A 19228-nucleotide genomic window follows, 5' to 3' on the forward strand; every position below is an offset into this window, starting at 1 on the left:
GTCCCTGCTGGGCTCTGTGCTGGCTGGGGCCGAGATGAGCTGTGGGGAGGCAGCATGGTGCCAAGCCAGCCAGCCGCGGCGCGTGCGGTGAGCTGGGCATATAGTGAGCTGGGCTTGAGGAACTGGCTGGGCTCTGTGGGAATCTAGTGTAGTGGTTTCCTATCAACAGCTTATCCCCTGGGCCAGTTCCTGGGCTCCGTAGCACCATGTGGACTATGGCCATTCCTGCCTGAAGTCAGGAAGGAGCTGTGTCCTTGAGGTAGAGCCACTCTAAGCAAAGCTAGTTTCAGTTTTGTGACGTCCTGGCAGGCAGCTGCAGTGGGTTTCCATCTCCCTGGGTTGACCACGAATATGTGAGAAGCAAAGTTCTAAAGTGCAGGTGGAGACTGGAGGAGTACATGAACAGTTGGGAGGCGCTGGACCCCCTAAGGGGGCCAAGTTCGAAGCTTCTCCTTGTAGCACTTTCCATAATTGCCAACAACCCTTGTTTAATATCGGTGTTTTGCCCTAAGCTCTAGAAAAGCAGGGAGCAAGGCTGCCTTGCTTCTCACTTTGTCCCCACCTAGCATGGTGTGTGGCTCACAGGAGGGGCTCAAGGAATCTATGTGGAATGCATCCACCCAGGCTGAGGATGGAGCTTTTGGCTTTGAGAGAGGAGATTCCGACAACACTGACCATGAGCTTCTTGTTTCATCGTGTGGTCCCCCCACTGTCCCCATCCCCTCTCTCACATTTTGTACCTCCACCCTTTCTCCTGCCATCATCAATGCCTTTTCTCAGAGAAGGATCTAGTGCTAGACATTGACACATGAGGGGAGGCCTCACACTATGTCACTGTTCCCTGGGCTCCCAGAGGAGAAAGTGACGTCCAAGCTGACCCCCCCTCATCCTGTTGCTCCTGGGACACAGGGTCATAGTGTGTTAGAGGTGACAGGATCTCTACAGGGAGCGGAGCGCACTGTCACTCTCAGGGTTTGCAAACCAGGATCTGGACGTGATGTTCAGGGTCACGTAGAGTTGGGGAAGACCATTTCTCCTAACTCCAACAGCTTTCCACACTCAGTAAGCGGTGGCGTTCTCCAGGAATTGTAAATGCAGCAACACTTCCCTTTATTTTTCAGTCATCCAATAAATTGGGATGAAAGGTTAAAAAGAAAAGAAAAGAAAGGTAAAGTGGATTTTAAGTTGCCCAATAAACTCTTTTAATTTCTTAAAAAAAAAACCTCATGTATGATGAAAAGAAAGACCCCAAATTACATCTATTCACCTGACTTTTAAAAAGATATATATATTTGATATTGAAGAGAAATATCCAAAACAGAACTTCTGTAATTTGGGCTAAACCTGTTGCTGGCCAGAAGTGCCTGTGGTAAGATGTCCACTTTGCATGCTGCTGTCCAAGGGCCTCTGAAGTCAGCCCGGAAGCAGCGGCCGGTTTGTTTGTCCTGGACAACCTCCAAGCCTTGTTCTAGTTCCCCTATCGGTTTCCCCATCTCCATCCATCCAGTCTCCTGAGGCAGTCATTGGCATCTCAGCCACTGGAGTCCCGCTGTTTGCTTTGGGACCTAGCAGGATGGATTTCTTGCTGTTTACACTGAAAAGAATTCCTAATCAGAAGTATAGATCCTAGGTGGGCAGGAGGCGGCAGGAAGAAGGAAAGGGGCTGAGCCAAGAAAAGAGCCAGCAGTGAGTCCTGAGCAGGGCAGGGGTGTGGGTGAAGCTGAGGGGGCGGAGCCAGAGGGGGAGCTGGCTAGTGGGGCTGGACCTTCTCATGTGGTTTGAAATTCCCCGAGGTAGTGGCTGCAGTTTAGTCTAAGGAAGGAACAGAGGGTGTGCCAACCTCTAAGACAGAGAGGCCTGTTCTCTAGCTGGGCTCAGGCCTTCTCCGAAGGGCCTCCTGCCTGGGCTGGACACATCTGAACTGTGGGGGCCCTTGCGGGGCTGGTACCTGCTTGGGGCCTCTGGGCTTGGAGGGCTTTGCTCCAAGTAACAGCCCCGAGGAGGCAGAGATGAGCAGGGCGTTAAGCCCTGTACTCTGCCTCAAGCCACATCACCTCTCTGAGCCTCAGTTTCCTAATTTAACCAGAGACGATAGTACCCTCTGCAATCATCTATTAAGAATTTGTGGCCGGGCGCGGTGGCTCACGCCTGTAATCCCAGCACTTTGGGAGGCCGAGGCAGGTGGATCACGAAGTCAGGAGATCAAGACCATCCTGGCTAACATGGTGAAACCCTGTCTCTACTAAAAATACAAAAAATTAGCCGGGCGTGGTGGCGGGCGCCTGTGGTCCCAGCTACTCTGGAGGCTGAGGCAGGAGAATGGCGTGAACCCGGGAAGCGGAGCTTGGAGTGAGCCGAGATGGCACCACTGCACTCCAGCCTGGGCGACAGAGCCAGACTCCATCTCAAAAAAAAAAAAAAAAAAAAAAAAATTTGTTTCCCTTTGCCTCTGAAGAAACTTGTGTCTGGGGAGCTACCTTTTGGGGCAAACAACCTCAGGATTTAAAAATTCGTCCCACAATTCACTCGTCATTGGTTCATTCATTTGTTCATTCACTCAGCCCACCTCTTCAGGGCTTGCTGACACCTGCACTGGGAATTCAGAAAGAGCTCTTTTTGCTGCCTGTCTGGTTTCGTGCACACCCTGGAACACAGTGGCCTTGCTTTGAAGTTTTCATCTGTTCCTCCACCTGGGGTGTTTCCTTAGTCTGTCGTGTAATAAAAAACAAATGTGGGCCCGGGGTGTTGGCTCACGCCAAGGCAGGAGGATCACTTGAGCCCAGGAGTTTGAGACCAATCTGGCCAACATAGGGAGACCCTGTCTCTACAAATAACAAAAACTTTAGCAGGTGTGGTGTTGTGCACCTGTGGTCCCAGCTCCTCGGGAGGCTGAGGTGGGAGAATCACATGAGCCCAGGAGGTTGAGGCTGTCGTGAGCTGTGATGGCACCACTGCACTCCAGCCTGGGTGACAGAGCAAGACCCTATCTCATAGAAAAAAAAAAAAGCAGTTGTGCAACTTTTCCCCTCGCTGCTGTGCCCAATCCCATGACCCTCATGGGGGTTTCCTAAGGTTTCAACTTGCAGTTCATTGAGGAAAACAAATGGTTAACTTGCTTGCGGAGAGCTTCTTAGGTGCCCACACAGTGCAGAATGCTATACAAGCCCTGGCCCTTTAACACCCCCAGAGATGAGTATTATTGTTCCATGGTGCCCTTGGGGATGCATTCTGACTTCCCTGAGCCTGGGGCGATTTTGCCTTCATGGGACCCATGCCCCATAAGAAATATTTAAAATCATCCCGGCGCAGTGGCTCATGCCTATAATCCCAGCACTTTGGGAGGCCGAGGAGGGCGGATCACCTGAGGTCAGGAGTTCAAGACCAGCCTGGCCAACATGGGGAAACACCATCTCTACTAAAAATACAAAAAAAAAAAAAAAAAAAATAGCTGGGCACGGTGGCGAGCACCTGTAATCTCAGCTACTTGGAAGGCTGAGGCAGGAGAATCACTTGAATGGGGGAGGCGGAGGTTGCAGTGAGCCGAGATCGCACCACTGCCCTCCAGCCTGGGTGACAAGAGTGAAAGTCTGTTTCAAAAAAAGAAAAAGAAATACTTACAGTGATATTTATATGACTGCATGGGTATATCAAAACATCTTCTTCAACCTGAAAGTCGCTTTTTCCTCTGGATTTTAAAAGAAATAAAAACATTTTTTGTGGGACCCTAAAAGTAATCTGGGCATCATGCCACCTGCACCTAATGGAGACGTGGGTCCTCCAGCTAACAAGCACAGGGATGAAACTCCAGCCAGGCCCTTCACTGTGGAAGCTCTAACCTCACAGTACTGCCTTGAGCAAGAAAGAAGGAAGGGAGGGGCCGGGCGCGGTGGCTCATGCCTGTAATCCCAGCACTTTGGGAGACTGAGGCGGGCAGATCTCCTGAGGTCAGGAGTTCCAGGCCAGCCTGGCCAACATAGTGAAACCCTGTCTCTACTTAAAATAAAAAATTAGCCAGGTGTGGTGGTACACACCTGTAATCCCAGCTACTTGGGATGCCGAGGGAGGAGAATCGCTTGAACCTGGGAGGCAGAGGTTGCAGTGAGCTGAGATCATGCCACCGCACTCTACTCTGGGGGACAAGAGCGAGACTTCGTCTCAAAAAAAAAAAAAAAGAAAAAGGAGGGAGGGACAAAGAACTGGAGAAGGAGACCAGTTATCCAAAATCTGAACACCTTTAATGATATTAATAGTTCTTGCTGGAAAATGAAACTTGGTTTTTTGTTTCTTTGCCTTGCTGCTTTTTACCTCAACTTTTTAAGATCCATGCCTACTCAATCCTCCTTCTTTGAAATTCTGAATGTTCTGCCTCCTAAGGGTAACTGGTTTGCCCAGAGGATGAAAAGCAATTCATTTATCTTTTTTCTAAGCAGCTCCAAGTTCCTACCTAATTCCCAGTAACAGCGTCATTCGTCACAATAATAACAAGAATAATTAACATTTTTGAGAGCCTTTAATGTGCCAGGCATTCTACGAATCACTTTGCAGCCTTGTCTCCTGATAAGCCTCAGGAACCCTATAAATGAGTGCTATTATCATCTCCATCTTGCAGATGAAGAAACTGAGGCTTGGAAAGACTAAGTGAGTTGCCCAGCTGGCAGTGCCAACATGGATCCACGTCTGTTAGTTTGTTGTCAGACTGTAACCTCCCTGAGGGTGAGGACTGTGCCCGGTTCCCCACTGTCTCCCTATCACCCAACACAATGCCCGCTACATACCAGCTTTCCATGTGGAATGAACAAATGCTTGACAGACCCCGGAGCCTGAACTCTTACCCTTTCCACTATTCTGCCCTTCAGGGAAACTCACCTGCTTCAGGTCCCCTGCTCTTTGTCTTGAAACAATCACTGCCTGTCACTTTGGTGCAGATATTGGCAGCTACAGCCATGCTGGAGTGAGGAATTATAAAAACAGGCAAGGGATCAGGCATTGACTTCTCCACTAATGCCCCTACAGTCCCACCCCCACACCCACCCCCAGCTGGGGGAAACTCCCAAGCAGAGTCTACCTCCTGCTGAGCCTGCTTCTCTCTGGGAACTTAAAGGTGAACTTGGCAGAGTGCCAGGCAGAAAAGCCAAGGAAGCTTCCTGCCCTGGGGCTCATCCCTTCCCCCTCCTTATGCCCTTTCTCCAGGGCACATTACCAGACAGAGAGCTGGCATCCCTGGGGGGGGACAGGAACTCACCTGCCAAAATAATTAGACACTTGAGAAGTGCAGCTACTACAAAAGAAAGATAAATCAAACCACATATGCCATTCAGAGCAGAATTACCGAAGCAGATGGACCAAGATTTTAAAGTAAAGCATGATTATACTTAAGGAGATAAAGGAAGAAATTCATGAAATAATACAAGAACAAAAAGTCACAGGCACTTCCCTTTCTCAGCTATCACTGAAGCAACGGTGGCCAAAATGAAATTCAGTGACTTGGCCGGGCAAGGTGGCTTGCGCCTGTAATCCCAGCAATTTGGGAGGCCGAGGCAGGCAGATGACCTGAGGTTGGGAATTCAAGACCAGCCTGACCAACGTGGAGAAACCCCGTCTCTACTAAAAATACAAAATTAGCTGGGCGTGGTGGTGCATGCCTGTAATCCCAGCTACTTCAGGAGGCTGAGGCAGGAGAATCACTTGAACCTGGGAGGCGGAGGTTGCGGTGAGCCGAGATCACGCCATTGCACTCCAGCCTGGGCAACAATAAAGAAACTTCTTCTCAAAAACAACAACAAAAAAAAAAAAAAAAAAGAAAGAAAAAGAAATTCAGTGACTTCTGAAAGTCAAGAAATCTTTGTGACTCTCACAAGAACCATAAGCGGTATTTTAACGCAGCTTCCCATATTTACAGGAAGATTATGTCTTCTTTTTCCAAAGAGCTGAGACAGAAATATAATGTTCGGTCCATGCCCATCTGAAAGGATGAAGAAGCTCAGTTTGCACAAGGACACTATAGAGGTCAGCAAATTAGCAAAGTAGTCCAAGTTTATGGGAAGAAATACGTTGTCTGCACTGGACATATGCAGCGGGAGAAGGCTGGCCATTTGCCCCAGCAGGGCTCTTAACCCTGAACAAAGACTGAGATCCTTGAGCCAAAAGCTAAATCTCACCAAGTAGGAACAGAAAAGGCCAAATACAAGGAAAATGCAATTGGGAAGATGTAGGAATAAAGTAATCTTACATACATCTTTCATTAAAAAACTGCTGCAATGAACAGGAAAAAAAGTCATAAGAGAGAATCAAGCCAAAACATTAGCTATGAAAAATTTAAGATTTAAAAAATAAAAGACATAATAGATGGCCTGAATATCAGGATGGATACAACTGAAGAATTTGCGAGTAGATAGGATGATCAGATTGAGAATTATCCCCAAAAGCAACAGGGAAAGAAACAGAGACAACACATAGAAAAGAGAAGCTGAGAGAGGCCAGGCGCAGTGGCTCACGCCTGTAATCCCAGCACTTGGGGAGGCTGAGGCAGGCAGATCATTTGAGATCAGGAGTTTGATACCAGCCTGGCCAATATGGTGAAACCCCATCACTACTAAAAATACAAAAATTAGCTCGGTGTGGTGGTGGGCGCCTGTAATTCCAGCTACTCGGGAGGCTGAGGCAAGAGAAGAATCACTTGAACCCGGGAGACTGGAGGTTGCAGTGACCTGAAATCACGCCACTGCACTCCAGCCTGGGCAACAGAGTGAGATTCTGTCTCAAAAAAAAAAAAAAAAAAACAAAAAAAAACCTGAGAGAGATGGAGAGTATACGTATGATTCCCAAAAGGAAAGAAAAATAAAAGTGGAGATGAGGAAATAAATAATTGACGAAATAATGGAGATTTAAATGTTCCAAAAATGTTTTTTAAATGAGTACAGATTGAAAGAGCTCATAGAGTAACCAACAGTAGAAAAGAATAAGGAAAAATTCACACATAGGTATCAGGGGGAAATTAAGAATATGAAAGACCAGGAAGAAGAGCAGGGAGAAATAACAGATGGCGTACAGAGGAACAAGAACTGGGTTGGCATTATTCTTCTCAACAGCAATACCCGATAAAGTCAAAGAAGTGATGTCACTAGTAATTTAAAAAAAAGAACTCTTTCAATCCAGAATTTTAAAGCCAGCCAATTTGTCATTCAAACATGAGGTCATAATAAAAATATTCTTAGGCAAATAAAGCCTCAGAAGGTGGAATACACAAAGACCCACATTGAAAATACTCTTGCAGGAAATAAATAATGAAAGAAATGTTCAGGAGATCCTGCAAGAACTGTGGGAAGTCAGGCTTCAGTGCAAGAAATAGAAGCAGTATTTGGCATTTTAGGCAGGAGGGGATTTTATACACCTTTTTTTTTTTTTTTAATGTAGGAAAGGCTAGAGGCTCCCAAAATACTGCAAAACTGGCCAGACTGGGGAGCTACAGCATCTGCCATAACCAGGAAAGTGGAGGAATCTCAAGGCTGCCCTGGAGGTTGAAACTGAACTTGACAGGGAACTGTTGAATTCAAGGACACATACATCCTGGATCCAGGGACCTGGAAGCTGATACACTGTAACTGCCCAGATATTGGAACCCAGAGTCTGGGTACCAATGTCACTGCAACACTTGTTCTCTTTTCAACAAGGAGAGAGTGAGTCCTAGGCTTGGACAGGTTGGGAGGTGACATTGTCTAGCTAGAATTTAATGACATTGATCTATTTCATCTAATTTATTTCATTGTTACCTTCTATTAATGGCAAGTGACACTGGCCATTTTTAGAAGTGATAGAAGATTGTGTGTGTGTGTGTGTGTGTGTGTGTGTGTGTGTGTGTGTGTTTTGAGACAGTCTTACTCTGTCACCCAGGCTGGAGTGCAGTGGCGTGATCATGGCTCACTGCAGCCTCCACCTCCTGGCTCAATCAATCCACCCACCTCAGCCTCTTGAGTAGCTGAGACTACAGGTGCACACCATCATGCCTGGCTAATTTTTGCATTTTTTTTGTAGAGATGGGGTCTCACTCTGTTGCCCAGTGATATGGTTAGGCTTTGTGTCCCCACACAAATTTCATCTTGAATCATAGTCCCCTTAATCCCCACTTGTCAAGGGAGAGACCAGATGGAGGTAATTGAATCATCGTGGTGGTTTCCTCCATGCTGTTCTCGTGATAGAGTGAGTTCTCATGAGATCTGATGGTTCTGTAAGGGGCTCTTCCCCTTTCGCTTGGCACCTCTCCTACCTGCCACCTTGTGAAGAAGTTACCTTGGTTCCCCTTCTCCTTCCTCCATGACTGTAAGTTTCCTGAGGCCTCCACAGCCATGCTGGACTTCGAGTCAGTTAAACCTCTTTCCTTTATAAATTACCCAGTCTTGGGCAGTTCTTTATAGCAGTAAGAAAACAGACTAATGCTCCCAGGCTGGTCTCTAACTCCTGGGCTCAAGTGATCCTCCCACTTCAGCCTCCCAAAATGCTGGGATGACAGGTATGAGCCATGCGCCTGGCCATTTCTGACATATTCTAGTGGTCTAAGCAGTCACAGGGCCCACCTAGCTTCAAGGGAGTGGAGAAATGGACTCTGCCTCTTGATGTGGGCAGTGGCCGGGTCACACTGCAGGAGAGAATATGGGATGGGAGATATTATGAGGCTGTCTTTGGAAACTGCAATTTGCATAGCTGGGAAGCACTGGTGGGTTTTGGAGACAGGAAATTGCTCATTCTGCCTGGCGGGGGAAGGGAAGAGGAGACAGGGGCTGGTGGAATAAGACTGAGGCAAGTTCATGGAAGACCTTGATTCCCACAACAGATCATTAGAACTTTATTCTGTAGCAAGTTGGAAATGATCATTGCTTTTGGAACAATGGAGAAACTGTGCAGAAAGCAAAGGTCTGTAATTCTAATTCCTTCAACAAGTGGCTCCCCAGGGAAGAGGCTGGAGGCTTCTATTCCTTCACAGTGACATATCCCAGCCCCACAATGGCATAAAAAGCACACTGCCTCAAATCCACTAAGCATTTATTAGACAATTATTGTATGCTGGGTGCAAGGCCAGGCTAGGCACTGTAGAGGTGAGTCTATGATTCATAAACCTGAATTCTGGAAATTCCAGTCCATAGCTTCTAGATCCCCTCTTGGATGCCTCATGGCCCAAAAACCCTTTGCCAGGACAAATATCCTGGTTTTTTACTAGAAAAATATCCAAGTCCAAGCAATGTAAAAGTACAAAGGAGGCTGTGACTTGTCCCTTGAGTCTGCACAGAGCTGAGAGGGGCTGTGATGGTCCAGGCCCCGAGCTCAGGGATCCGGACCCCAGAGAGTTAAGCGTATATTCGGAGCCAACCCATCCTCAGGCACCTGCTTAACCCCATCTCTTCCACGCAGCCCATACGCACACATGCATTCACGCATTTATTCATTCAAGTGCCTTCTAAACAGCAGGCCTTGTGCTGGGTGCTGGCAGGATGGCTATAAGTAAGGCAGGTCCCCCAGGGAGCACCTAGAATAGAAAGGAAGCCGGACCTCCCTACTGATAACAACACTTTCAGGTGATAAGTGCTATAACTAAGGTACCTATGAGATGCTGTGAAGAGTCTCAGAGGAGGCTGACCTCCTTCAGATAGGAGGAGAGGCTTTGGGCAGGTCTTGGAGAAAAAGGAAACTGACATTATCAGCACCCACTAGGGCCCAGGCATTCTGCTAGGGGGTTAACGTGCACTGCTAAGTGACTTATGCACACAAAACCCTTACACAGGCCTGGTCTATACAGTAAGGCTAAGTGATTGACACTTAATATTAACAATTATCATCTCCTTTGAGTGTAACAAGAAGGAACTAGAGAGGAGTCGCAAAGCCTCCTTTACAGTTGAGGAAACAGGCATGGAGGCTAAGTTGTGAGCCCAAGGGGACATAACTAAGCCGGAGTTCAATCCCCAATTTAATTCTAAAGTCCTGATCTCTGTCTCCACCCTCTTTCTAGTTCATGGAGGAGGGAAGAAGTGGAGGACATTCCCAAAGAGGGGACAAACCTTGGGAAAACTCAATAGTCTCAAGGAGCCAGGGTGTGGAGTATGTGGGTGCCCAGGTGGGATGGGAGAGGAGGCAGGAGAGAGGTGGCGGGGGCTGAAGTGTAAAGGGCATTGAACACCAGGTGGGGTAGGAGAGTGGGCTTGATTCTACCCATAGAGAGAATCGACCGAGGGTTCCGCGACGCCCTGGCCGTATTGGAATCTCTCCTTCCAGGTCACACTCCCGTGACCGCTCGTCACCTAATTAGGCACCCGCCTGTGACCCGTTCACATCCTTCCAGGCAGGGCTGGGCCTGGAACACGGGGCAACTCACAGTCCAGAGCTTCCTCCTTGTCACGGCCTCCCTCTCAGGCTGTGGTATTTGCTCAGAACCTGAGCCCGGGGGCAGAGAGCACAGAAATATTTATTTATGTCACTGCCAACCCTGCCTCCTGGAGGCCCGCACGGGGCACCTCACAGAGAAGCTCAGTTATATAACTCAGAGTTGACACAGCAGGAAGGAGAGGGAAACAAGTTCTAGTTATTCCTTTTTCTCAGTCTTAGACACATTTGGAAACTGGATGGCTTGACATTGCCCTGTCTTCTTCCTCCCTCACCTTACTGACCTGGGGTCCCCAGGGACCTCGGTGATGCTAGATCCATTGCTGATTTTAACCTCGATTCTCATGTGGCTGGGGGTTTGGGGAGATCTTCCTAGAGGTGGAGGAGGGGAGAGAAAGGAAATATATTAAAGGGCTGCTTTGTGCCAAACACTGCCAGAGACTTTATATTTATTATTATTAGTAGTAGTATTAAACAGCAATCCCATGAAGAGGGTCCTGTTATTACCTCCACTTTACAGAAAAGGAGATGAAGGCACAGAGAGGTTAAGTAACTTTCTAAAGGCCACCCAGCCGAGCCAGGTCAGTCTGGCTCTGACCACTACTGGTTCATTTTCAAGCATCTCAAACTGAATCCATAATAAACTGAATCCCATAATAGGGATCCTTTTTGTTGTTGTTATTAGAGACAGGGGTCTCGATATATTGCCCAGGCTGGACTCAAACTCCTGGGCTCAAGAGATCCTCCCACCTCAGCCTTCCAAGTAGCTAGGACTAGAGGCATGCGTCACCATACCCGGCTCATAATGTAGGGGTTCTTGAGAGCCCAGAGCATGCTAGTTTCTTATTGTGGAGGAAGTTCTTCCACAGCTTTAATTCCTAATATATTTGTTTTGTTTTGTTTTGTTTTTTTTTGGAGACTTGCTCTGTCGCCCAATGGTGCGATCTCAGCTCACTGCAACCTCTGGGGTCAAGCAATTCTCCCACCTCAGCCTCCCGAGTAGCTGAGATTACAGGCGCCTGCCACCATGCCCGACTGATTTTTGTATTTTTAGTAGAGACGGGGTTTCACCATGTTGGCCAGGCTGGTCTCAAACTTCTGACCTCAGGTGACCCACCTGCCTCAGCCTCCCAAAGTGCTGGGATTACAGGCATGAGCCACCATGTCCAGTCCCAACATATTTCTTGAATCTAGGTTCCACTCTGGCCCTCCCTGGGCACTAGACTTCACTGTGCTGGGACCTTCACTCTCCCACCCACTCACCACATCCTACACTTTCCTTCCCTAATGTGCCCATTCCCACCCCCTCCTCCCCAGACTTCACTCCCATTGTTCTTCCCAGCTAGACTGGCATTCTTCCCTTCCCACCTCATAAAGTCCCAGTCAAATGATAATAGTAACAATGTTCATTGATTGAGCGGCAGCAGTAAAGTGGAGTGGTCAAAAGCATGAACTGTGGTGTACTTGGCCTAAGTTCTACCTAGTTCTGCCGCTTTCACTGGCTGTGTGACCTCAGGATACTTAGTCTCTCTGGGCCTCAGTTTCTCTACCTGTAAAATGGAAATAATGATACCCACCTCCTAGGGCTGGCATGGAATGAAATGAGTTATACAAATAAAAATTTAAACTATACAAATAAAAGCTTACTTATAAAGTTTTTAGAAAAGTGCTTGGCACACAGTAAGTGCTCATTAAATGCTCCTCTTACTTTCAAGCCCTCAAAACATGGTGCAGACTCTGAAGTCAGATTCTTTGGGGTCACGTCCTTCCTCAGTTGGTGACCTTGGACAAGTTACTTAACCTCCTTGGGCCTCAGTTTCCTCACTTAAAAAAAATTTTTTTTTGAGACAATTTTTCTTGCTCTGTGACCCAGGCTGGAGTACAGTGGCACAATCACTGCTCACTGCAGCCTTGAACTCCTGGGCTCAAGTGATCCTCCCACCTCAACCTCTAGATGGGACCACAGATGTGAGCCACCACACCTGGAAATTTTTTTTTTTTTTTTGTGGAGACGGGGTCCCCCTGTGTTTCCCAGGCTGCTCTTGAACTCCTGAGCTCAAGCAGTCTGCCCACCTTGGCCTCCCAAACTGCTGGGATTACAGGCGTGAGTCACCATGCCCAGGCTAGAAATTTTAACAAACAATATGCTTTTTGCTTAGAAACAATCAAATAAACATAAAGTAAGTTAGGCCCCATCTCTAACAAAAAAAAATTTTTTTATAGATTAGTCGAGTGCAGTGGCTTGCACCTATAGTTCCAGCTGCTTGGGCAGTGCAGATGGGAGGATCCCTTGAACTGGGGAAGTCAAGGCTGGAGTGAGCCGTGATTGTGCCACTGCACTCCAGCCTGGGCAACAGAGCAAGATCTCACTCAAAAACTAAATACATAAACAAACAAAGTACTTAACAGGGGGCTTAGCGCTTAGAACTAAGTACATACAAGCTATTATTATATTCCTGGGATTCAGATCCAGGTCAGTCTGACCCCACAGCCGAAGAGTTTAATGACCCCATGGTGCCATTCAAATTCCACTGCTCCAGGTGGCCTGCCCTCCCCCAGGCCCCTGCTCAGAACCCTCAGCCTCTGAGCTCACGGCACCTCTGTGTTAGTGTCTCATCTGCCTCCTGGTGATGCAGACCACACATGGGGGGAAGGTACATGCCAGGTGCCCTGTGCCCGATCCTTGCTCAGTGCCACAGTCTCTAGCTCATAATATATGATTAATGAATATTTCCTGAATGAATGAATGTATGAACAAATGAATGAGTTGGTGTTGGTAGGAGAGGGGTGTGGGTGGTGAACACTTACCACCCGGTCATAATTACTCCTTCTGGGCGCCTCTGCTATGCCCACCACTGGGCATGGTCTTCATGTTCACAGTCCCATTAGATCCTCATCAAACCCCATTCTGCTTCACAACGAGGGACATTGAGACTTCTCTTGGAGTTCCCAGCGTCCTTGGGTATAAAGCAAAGAGAGAAGGACAGAGTGTGGTTTGGTGTTGTCCAATATAATGTGAGCCACATATGTTATTGTAAATGTCCTGGTAGCCACATTAAAAAAGTAAAAAGAAGGCTGGGCACGGTGGCTCATGCCTGTAATCCTAGCACTTTGGGAGGCCGAGGCAGGCGGATCACGGGGTCAGGAGTTCAAGACCAGCCTGGCCAACATAGTGAAACCTCGTCTCTACTAAAAATACAAAAATTAGCCAGGCGTGGTAGTGGACAGCTGTAATCCTAGCTACTCAAGAGGTTGAGGCAGGAGAATCACTTGAACTCAGGAGGCAGAGGTTGCTGTGAGTGGAGATCACGCCATTGGACTCCAGCCTGGGTGACAGAGCAAGACTCTGTCTCAAAAAGAAAGAAAGAAAAAAGAAACAGGCTAAATTTTGATATTTTATGTAACCCAGCATATTCCAAATATGAACATTTCCACATGTAGTCAATAGAAAAAAACTTCATATATATACTTTTTTTTTCTTTGAGATGGAGTCTTGCTCTGTCGCCCAGGCTGAAGTGACATGGCACGATCTCGGCTCACTGCAACCTCTGCCTCCCGGGTTCAAGAGATTCTCCTGCCTCAGCCTCCCGAGTAGCTGGGATTACAGGTGTGCGCCACCACGCCTGGCTAATTTTTGTGTTTTTGGTAGAGACACGGCTTCACCATATTGGCCAGGCTGGTCACAAACTCCTGACCTCAAGTGATCCGCCTGCCTCGGCCTCCCAAAGTGCTGGGATTACAGGCGTAAGCCACCGCGCCTGGAAGAAAAAAATTATGAATGAGATGTTTTACATTCTTTTATTTTGTCCTAAGTCTTTGTAATTCCATGGGCATTTTGCACTTAAAATACATTGTAACTCACAGCAGCCACATTTCCGAGGCTCAAATAGCCATGCGTGGCCAGGGGCACCACGCTGGACAGCACAGATCTAGATGCTGCTGGGTGGTGAAAGCCTGGCTGAGGATTGGGACTTCATTCACCTTAGCTGATGAGTAGCCATCCAAAGCTGGGGCAGCGGCGAGCATGCTCAGATGTATTTCTAGAAAGTTCTCTGGGGTGGCTGTACAGTTGATGGATTTTAAGGGGAGAGGGCTTTTCTATCCTCTCCACCTTAGGGTGGATGGATCACACTGAGGGCGTTCCCCCACTGGGATATGACTTGGAGGTAGAGATGGGCTCCGTATCCCCAAGAAGGACTCTCCCGTCCAAGGTAAATGTCAGGTCTGAGGCTCCAACCCCATCAGACCCTTCCTTCCTGTGCCTCTGACCTGCTCTTTCCCGAGGCAGTCAGTGGTCACTGAATGGTGCAGGCTGGGGCTGAGCTCGGCACCTGCTATGGTTTGTGGGTAACAGATATGGTTCTGGGCAGCTCAGAGAGGAAGTGAAGAACCTGCTAGCCCCGCCTGGCCAAGCTCCCCGTGCCAGGGCCGGCTCTGGACACACCAGCCCACAGAGGCACACTCGCTTGCACACTTGCTCACACACTCACCGCCCCTCCCCACTGCTCAGCCCCCTCCTCCTAGGAGTACACAGGCCCCCTGGAGAGCTCAGCACCCCAGCACACCCACCACATCCTTCCCCAAACCTCGTTCCTGCTCATGTTTGCATTTCCTGGACCCCCAGCTCACACTTGCCTCGCACGTTCCGCACGTCCTAAAAGTCTCTTCCACTTTTCCTCTGGCACGTCAAGGAGCGGGCAGGATGGGTGCTGCCAGGCCCTGGTTTGGGAAGCAGAAAACTGGATCCCAATCCTGCCCCAGTAGCTCTGTGATTTTGGACGATTTACTCAGTCTCTCTGAGCCTCAGTGACCCTGGGTGTGAAGCAGAATGGAGTTTGATAAGGATCCAATGGGACTGTGAACATGAAGCCCATGCCCAGTGGTGGGCATGGAAAAGGCACCCAGAAGGAGCAACCATGACTGTGTGGGAAGTGTCCACCCTCTACACCCCAGGTCTAGGAAAGCCAGGCCCTGCTCACACACCTCCACGCCTGTCTATGGGGCAGACCTGGGTCCTCCCAGCCTTCACACCTGAGGTTCTCCCAGGCCCCATCAGCCTTCAGGGACAGGACTCATATCACGTTGAAACCAGGTGGTTCGGCTCAAACACAGACCCCTGAGCTTAGCTCTGTAGTGGGCAAGGCATCAGTGTCTATGATGGTTAATTTTAGGTGTCAGTTTGACTGGGGCTGGGCGCAGTGGCTCACTCCTGTAATCCCAGCACTTTGAGAGGCCAAGGTCGTGGATCACGAGGTCAGGAGTTCAAGACCAACCTGGCCAACATGGCGAAACCCTGTCTCTACTAAAAATACAGAAATCAGTCAGGCGTGGCAGTGTGTGCCTGTAATCCCAGCTACTCAGGAGGCTGAGGCAGGAGACTCACTTGAACCTGGGAGGCAGAGGTTGCAGTGAGCTAAGATCGCACCATTGCACTCCAGCATGAGTGACATAGCAAGACTCTGTCCCCCCTACAAAAAAGAAACAAAAACAAAAACAAAAACAAAAACTTGACTGGACTGAGAAACCTAGAAACCGGCCAGGTGCAGCGGCTCACACCTATAATCCCAGAACTTTGGAAGGCCGAAGCAGGAGGCTCTCTTGAGCCCAGGAGTTCGAGACCAGCCTGGGCAACATAGTAAAACCCCATCTCCAGAAAAAATATAATTAAAATTAGAAAAGAAACCTAGAAACCTAGTAAAGCATTATTTTGGGGTGTGTCTGTGATGGTGTTTCCAGAGGAGATTAGCGAGCGAGTCTGAGTGGACTAGACGGGGAAGATCCGCTCCCAGTGTGGGCGGCACCATGCACTCTGCTGGGGACCCAGAGAGGACAAAAAAAAAAAAAAAAAAACAGAAAAAAGGGGGAATATGTCAGTCTAGCTCCTGGAGCTGGGATACGCTCATCTCCTGTGTTGGACAGCAGAACTCCAGGCCCCCTGGCCCTTGGACTCCAGGACCCACACAGCGGCCCCCAGGTGCTTAAGCCTTCAGTCTGGGACTGAGAGGGGTTTTTTTTTTTTAGACGGAGTCTTGCTCTGTTGCCCAGGCTGGAGTGCAGTGGAATCTTGGCTCACTGCAACCTCTGCTTCCTGGGTTGAAGTGATTCTCCTGCCTCAGACTGCTGAGTAGCTGGAATTACAGGTGCGTGCCACCATGCCCAGCTAATTTTTGTACTTTTAGTAGAGACGGGGTTTCACCATGTTGGCCAGGCTGGTCTCAAACTCCTGACCTCAAGTTATCTGCCCACCTCGGCCTCGCAAAGTGCTGGGATTACAGGCATGAGCCACCGCGCCCGGCCAACGGGACTGAGAGTTATATCATCAGTGTCCCTGGTGCTGAGGCCTTCGGGCTTGGACTGAGCCACGCTCCTGATGTCCCAAGGTCTTCAGCTTGCAGATAGCCTGTCACCGGACTTCGCAGCCTCCACGATTGCATAAGCCCATTCCCTTAGTAAGTCCCCTCTTCTGTATCTGTATAACACATTGATCCTGTCTCTCTGGAGAACTCCGACATATACCATGTCCCAGGACTCTGAGCTCCACAGCAGATTCTTCAGAGACAACATCAGGGGCCCAGTAGACACTGGAGACGGTGTCCAGGACAGGTCAGCTCTGAGAGAACCCTGAACCAGCAGTACCAGGAGCACGAGGCACAGTAGACAAGGCCCGCAATACTTTTTTTTTTTTTTTTTTTGAGACGGAGTCTCACACTGTCGCCCAGTCTGGAGTGCAATGGCATGATCTCGGCTCACTGCACCCACTGCCTCCCGGGTTCAAGCAATTCTCCCGCCTCAGCCTCCCAAGTAGCTGGGATTACAGGCACCACCATCATGCCTGGCTAATTTTTGTTTGTAGAGATGCGGTTTCAACATGTTGGCCAGGCTGGTCTTGAACTCCTGACCTCAGGTGATCCGCCAGCCTTGGCCTCCCAAAGTGCTGGGATTACAAGCATAAGCCACCACACCTGGCCAAGGCCCATAATACTTTTAAGGGCCCATTAAGATGTTTTAATTTCTGGGAGGCGGAGGTTGCAGTGACCCGAGATCGTGCCACTGCACTCCAGCCTGGGCGACAGAGTGAGACTTTGTCTCAGATAAAAAAAGATGTTTTAATTTCTTTAAAATCAAGCAGGGGAAAGAACTTTTAGAGCAGCAAAAAAGTTTCAGTTTTTTTCCCTCGGGTTGGAAAAAAAATAAAATTTTTAGAGCCCACGAAAATGTATTACGCTGGGAGAGCCCCACAGAAGTCATAATGCACCCGACTGAGTCTTCATTCGTTCAGACAGGTTTATTGGGCAGGGTGCTTTCTGTCAGCTCTTATTTGATCCTTACAATCCAGATGAGGAAATGAGGCTCCTGGAGGGTGAATAATTTGTCTACAACAGTGATTTTAAAGGTGACAGAGGCAGAATCTGAACCTAGGTCCATCTGAGCCCAAACCCTTGTCTTCGCCAAGCCACACTTGGCATTTGCAAGCTCATCACTGTATTTAACCCAGTCCTCACAGATTAGGAGCAATTGCCCCGTTTTAAAACTGAGAAAACTGCCCGGGCGTGGTGGCTCATGCCTGTAATCCCAGTACTTTGAGAGGCCGAGGCGGCTGGATCACCTGAGGTCAGGAGTTTGAGACCAGCCTGACCAGCATGGTGAAACCCCGTCTCTGCTAAAAATACAAAATTAGCCGGGCGTGGTGGCATGTGCCTGTAATTCCAGCTACTTGGGAGGCTAAGGCAGGAGAATTGCTTGAACCCAGGAGGCGGAGGTTGCAATGAGCCGAGATCGCACCATTGCACTCTCAAAAAAAAAAAAAAAAAAAAAAAAAATGAGGAAACTAAGTCCTGGAGAGGAGAAGAAAGCGCCTTGCCCACAGTAACTTGGCTAGTTAGTGAAGGAGTCAGAACTAGCTCCCTCATCCTGATCCTCTCTGCACAGCCGCATTGCCCCGTCCAGAGCTTCTCCTGCCCTCCCTCGCTGTCCCCATCCTCCACCCTCACCACTGCCACCCTGCACAGATGGCTCCCCTGCCTGTCCCCCGACCTGCCTTTCTTGGTCCAGTTTCCCAGCCACAGAAAGGCCACTTAGGTCTGTGCGGCATCCACATCCCACCTCCTGACAAAGCTGGGGGCTGGCACTGCTGCTTGAGAGGGTGGGAAGAAAAGACAGGCGGCAGGCCAAGACGAGAGTGTAGGTTTAAATGACACCGCAGGTCCCCCAGACAAACGCCCCTCTGTATCTTTGGGCCTATTGTGACTGGCCACTGGCCAGCTCACACCGTGGGCAGCTTGAACGGCTGGGATTGTTTCCCCAACTCCTGTCCTCTCTGGAGTCCAGCGGCTGCCAGGCCCAGGCTTGGCAGGAAAGGGGAGGGGTGTTCCTTCTGGAATGGAGGGTGTGGAGGCAAACAAGCCTCGGGGAGGGTGTCCTGAACCAAGTGAGAGGCTGGAAGAGTCACAAGGAGGAAGGGGCCAGAGAGGGAGGTCCCTGGTCCCCAGCTGTTCAGTTTGCAGGAGGGCAAACTGCAGTCCAGACAGAACAAGTGGCCTGCCCCAGGTCACACAGAAAGTAAGTAACAGGGGTGAGACTAGAACCCAGGATTCCTAACTCCAGCCCAGGGTTCTTGCCCCCCATCTCAGGCCTCTCTGTTGGAGTTTTCAAGATGGCCGTGTTAAGTAGGTGAGGTAGTGAGCCCCATAGACCAAGACCTTGGGACTCAAAGAAAGGATGTTACACAGGACACAGTGGCTCACACCTGTAATCCCAGCACTTTGGGAGGCTGAGGCAGGTGGATCACCTGAGGTCAGGAGTTCAAGACCAGCCTGGCTAACATGACGAAATCCTGTCTCTACTAAAAGCACACACACAC

The 19228-nt window shown here is 49.1% G+C and overlaps 1 protein-coding gene and 1 pseudogene across 2 annotated transcripts in view, besides 2 other annotated features; both read left to right on the forward strand.

The window, feature by feature from the left end:
* The window catches only part of NCMAP (non-compact myelin associated protein), a 53242-nt gene that overhangs the window by 1667 nt on the left and 32347 nt on the right, over nucleotides 1-19228 (forward strand). The window contains exon 1 of one of the 2 annotated variants that reach the window (XM_011541463.3): nucleotides 5779-7676. The exons of the other annotated variant lie outside the window; for it this stretch is intronic. The gene's annotated coding sequence lies outside the window, so the exon portion shown is untranslated. Of the gene's footprint in view, nucleotides 1-5778; nucleotides 7677-19228 lie in introns of those variants that run through there. 2 annotated transcript variants of the gene reach the window in all.
* On the forward strand, nucleotides 5844-6218 carry RPL26P8 (ribosomal protein L26 pseudogene 8; annotated as a pseudogene).
* Nucleotides 9853-10354: an enhancer, noted in NCBI's record as "H3K4me1 hESC enhancer chr1:24894097-24894598 (GRCh37/hg19 assembly coordinates)". NCBI's record gives its function as "activates a minimal SCP1, AML or CMV promoter by ChIP-STARR-seq in primed H9 embryonic stem cells {active_cell/tissue: H9 hESC(primed)}" and the evidence as "EXISTENCE:reporter gene assay evidence [ECO:0000049][PMID:30033119]".
* Nucleotides 11505-12007: an enhancer, noted in NCBI's record as "NANOG hESC enhancer chr1:24895749-24896251 (GRCh37/hg19 assembly coordinates)". NCBI's record gives its function as "activates a minimal SCP1, AML or CMV promoter by ChIP-STARR-seq in primed H9 embryonic stem cells {active_cell/tissue: H9 hESC(primed)}" and the evidence as "EXISTENCE:reporter gene assay evidence [ECO:0000049][PMID:30033119]".

The sequence above is a fragment of the Homo sapiens genome, chromosome 1 (genome assembly GCF_000001405.40).
Source record: "Homo sapiens chromosome 1, GRCh38.p14 Primary Assembly".
In the NCBI taxonomy this organism is placed as follows: domain Eukaryota; kingdom Metazoa; phylum Chordata; class Mammalia; order Primates; family Hominidae; genus Homo; species Homo sapiens.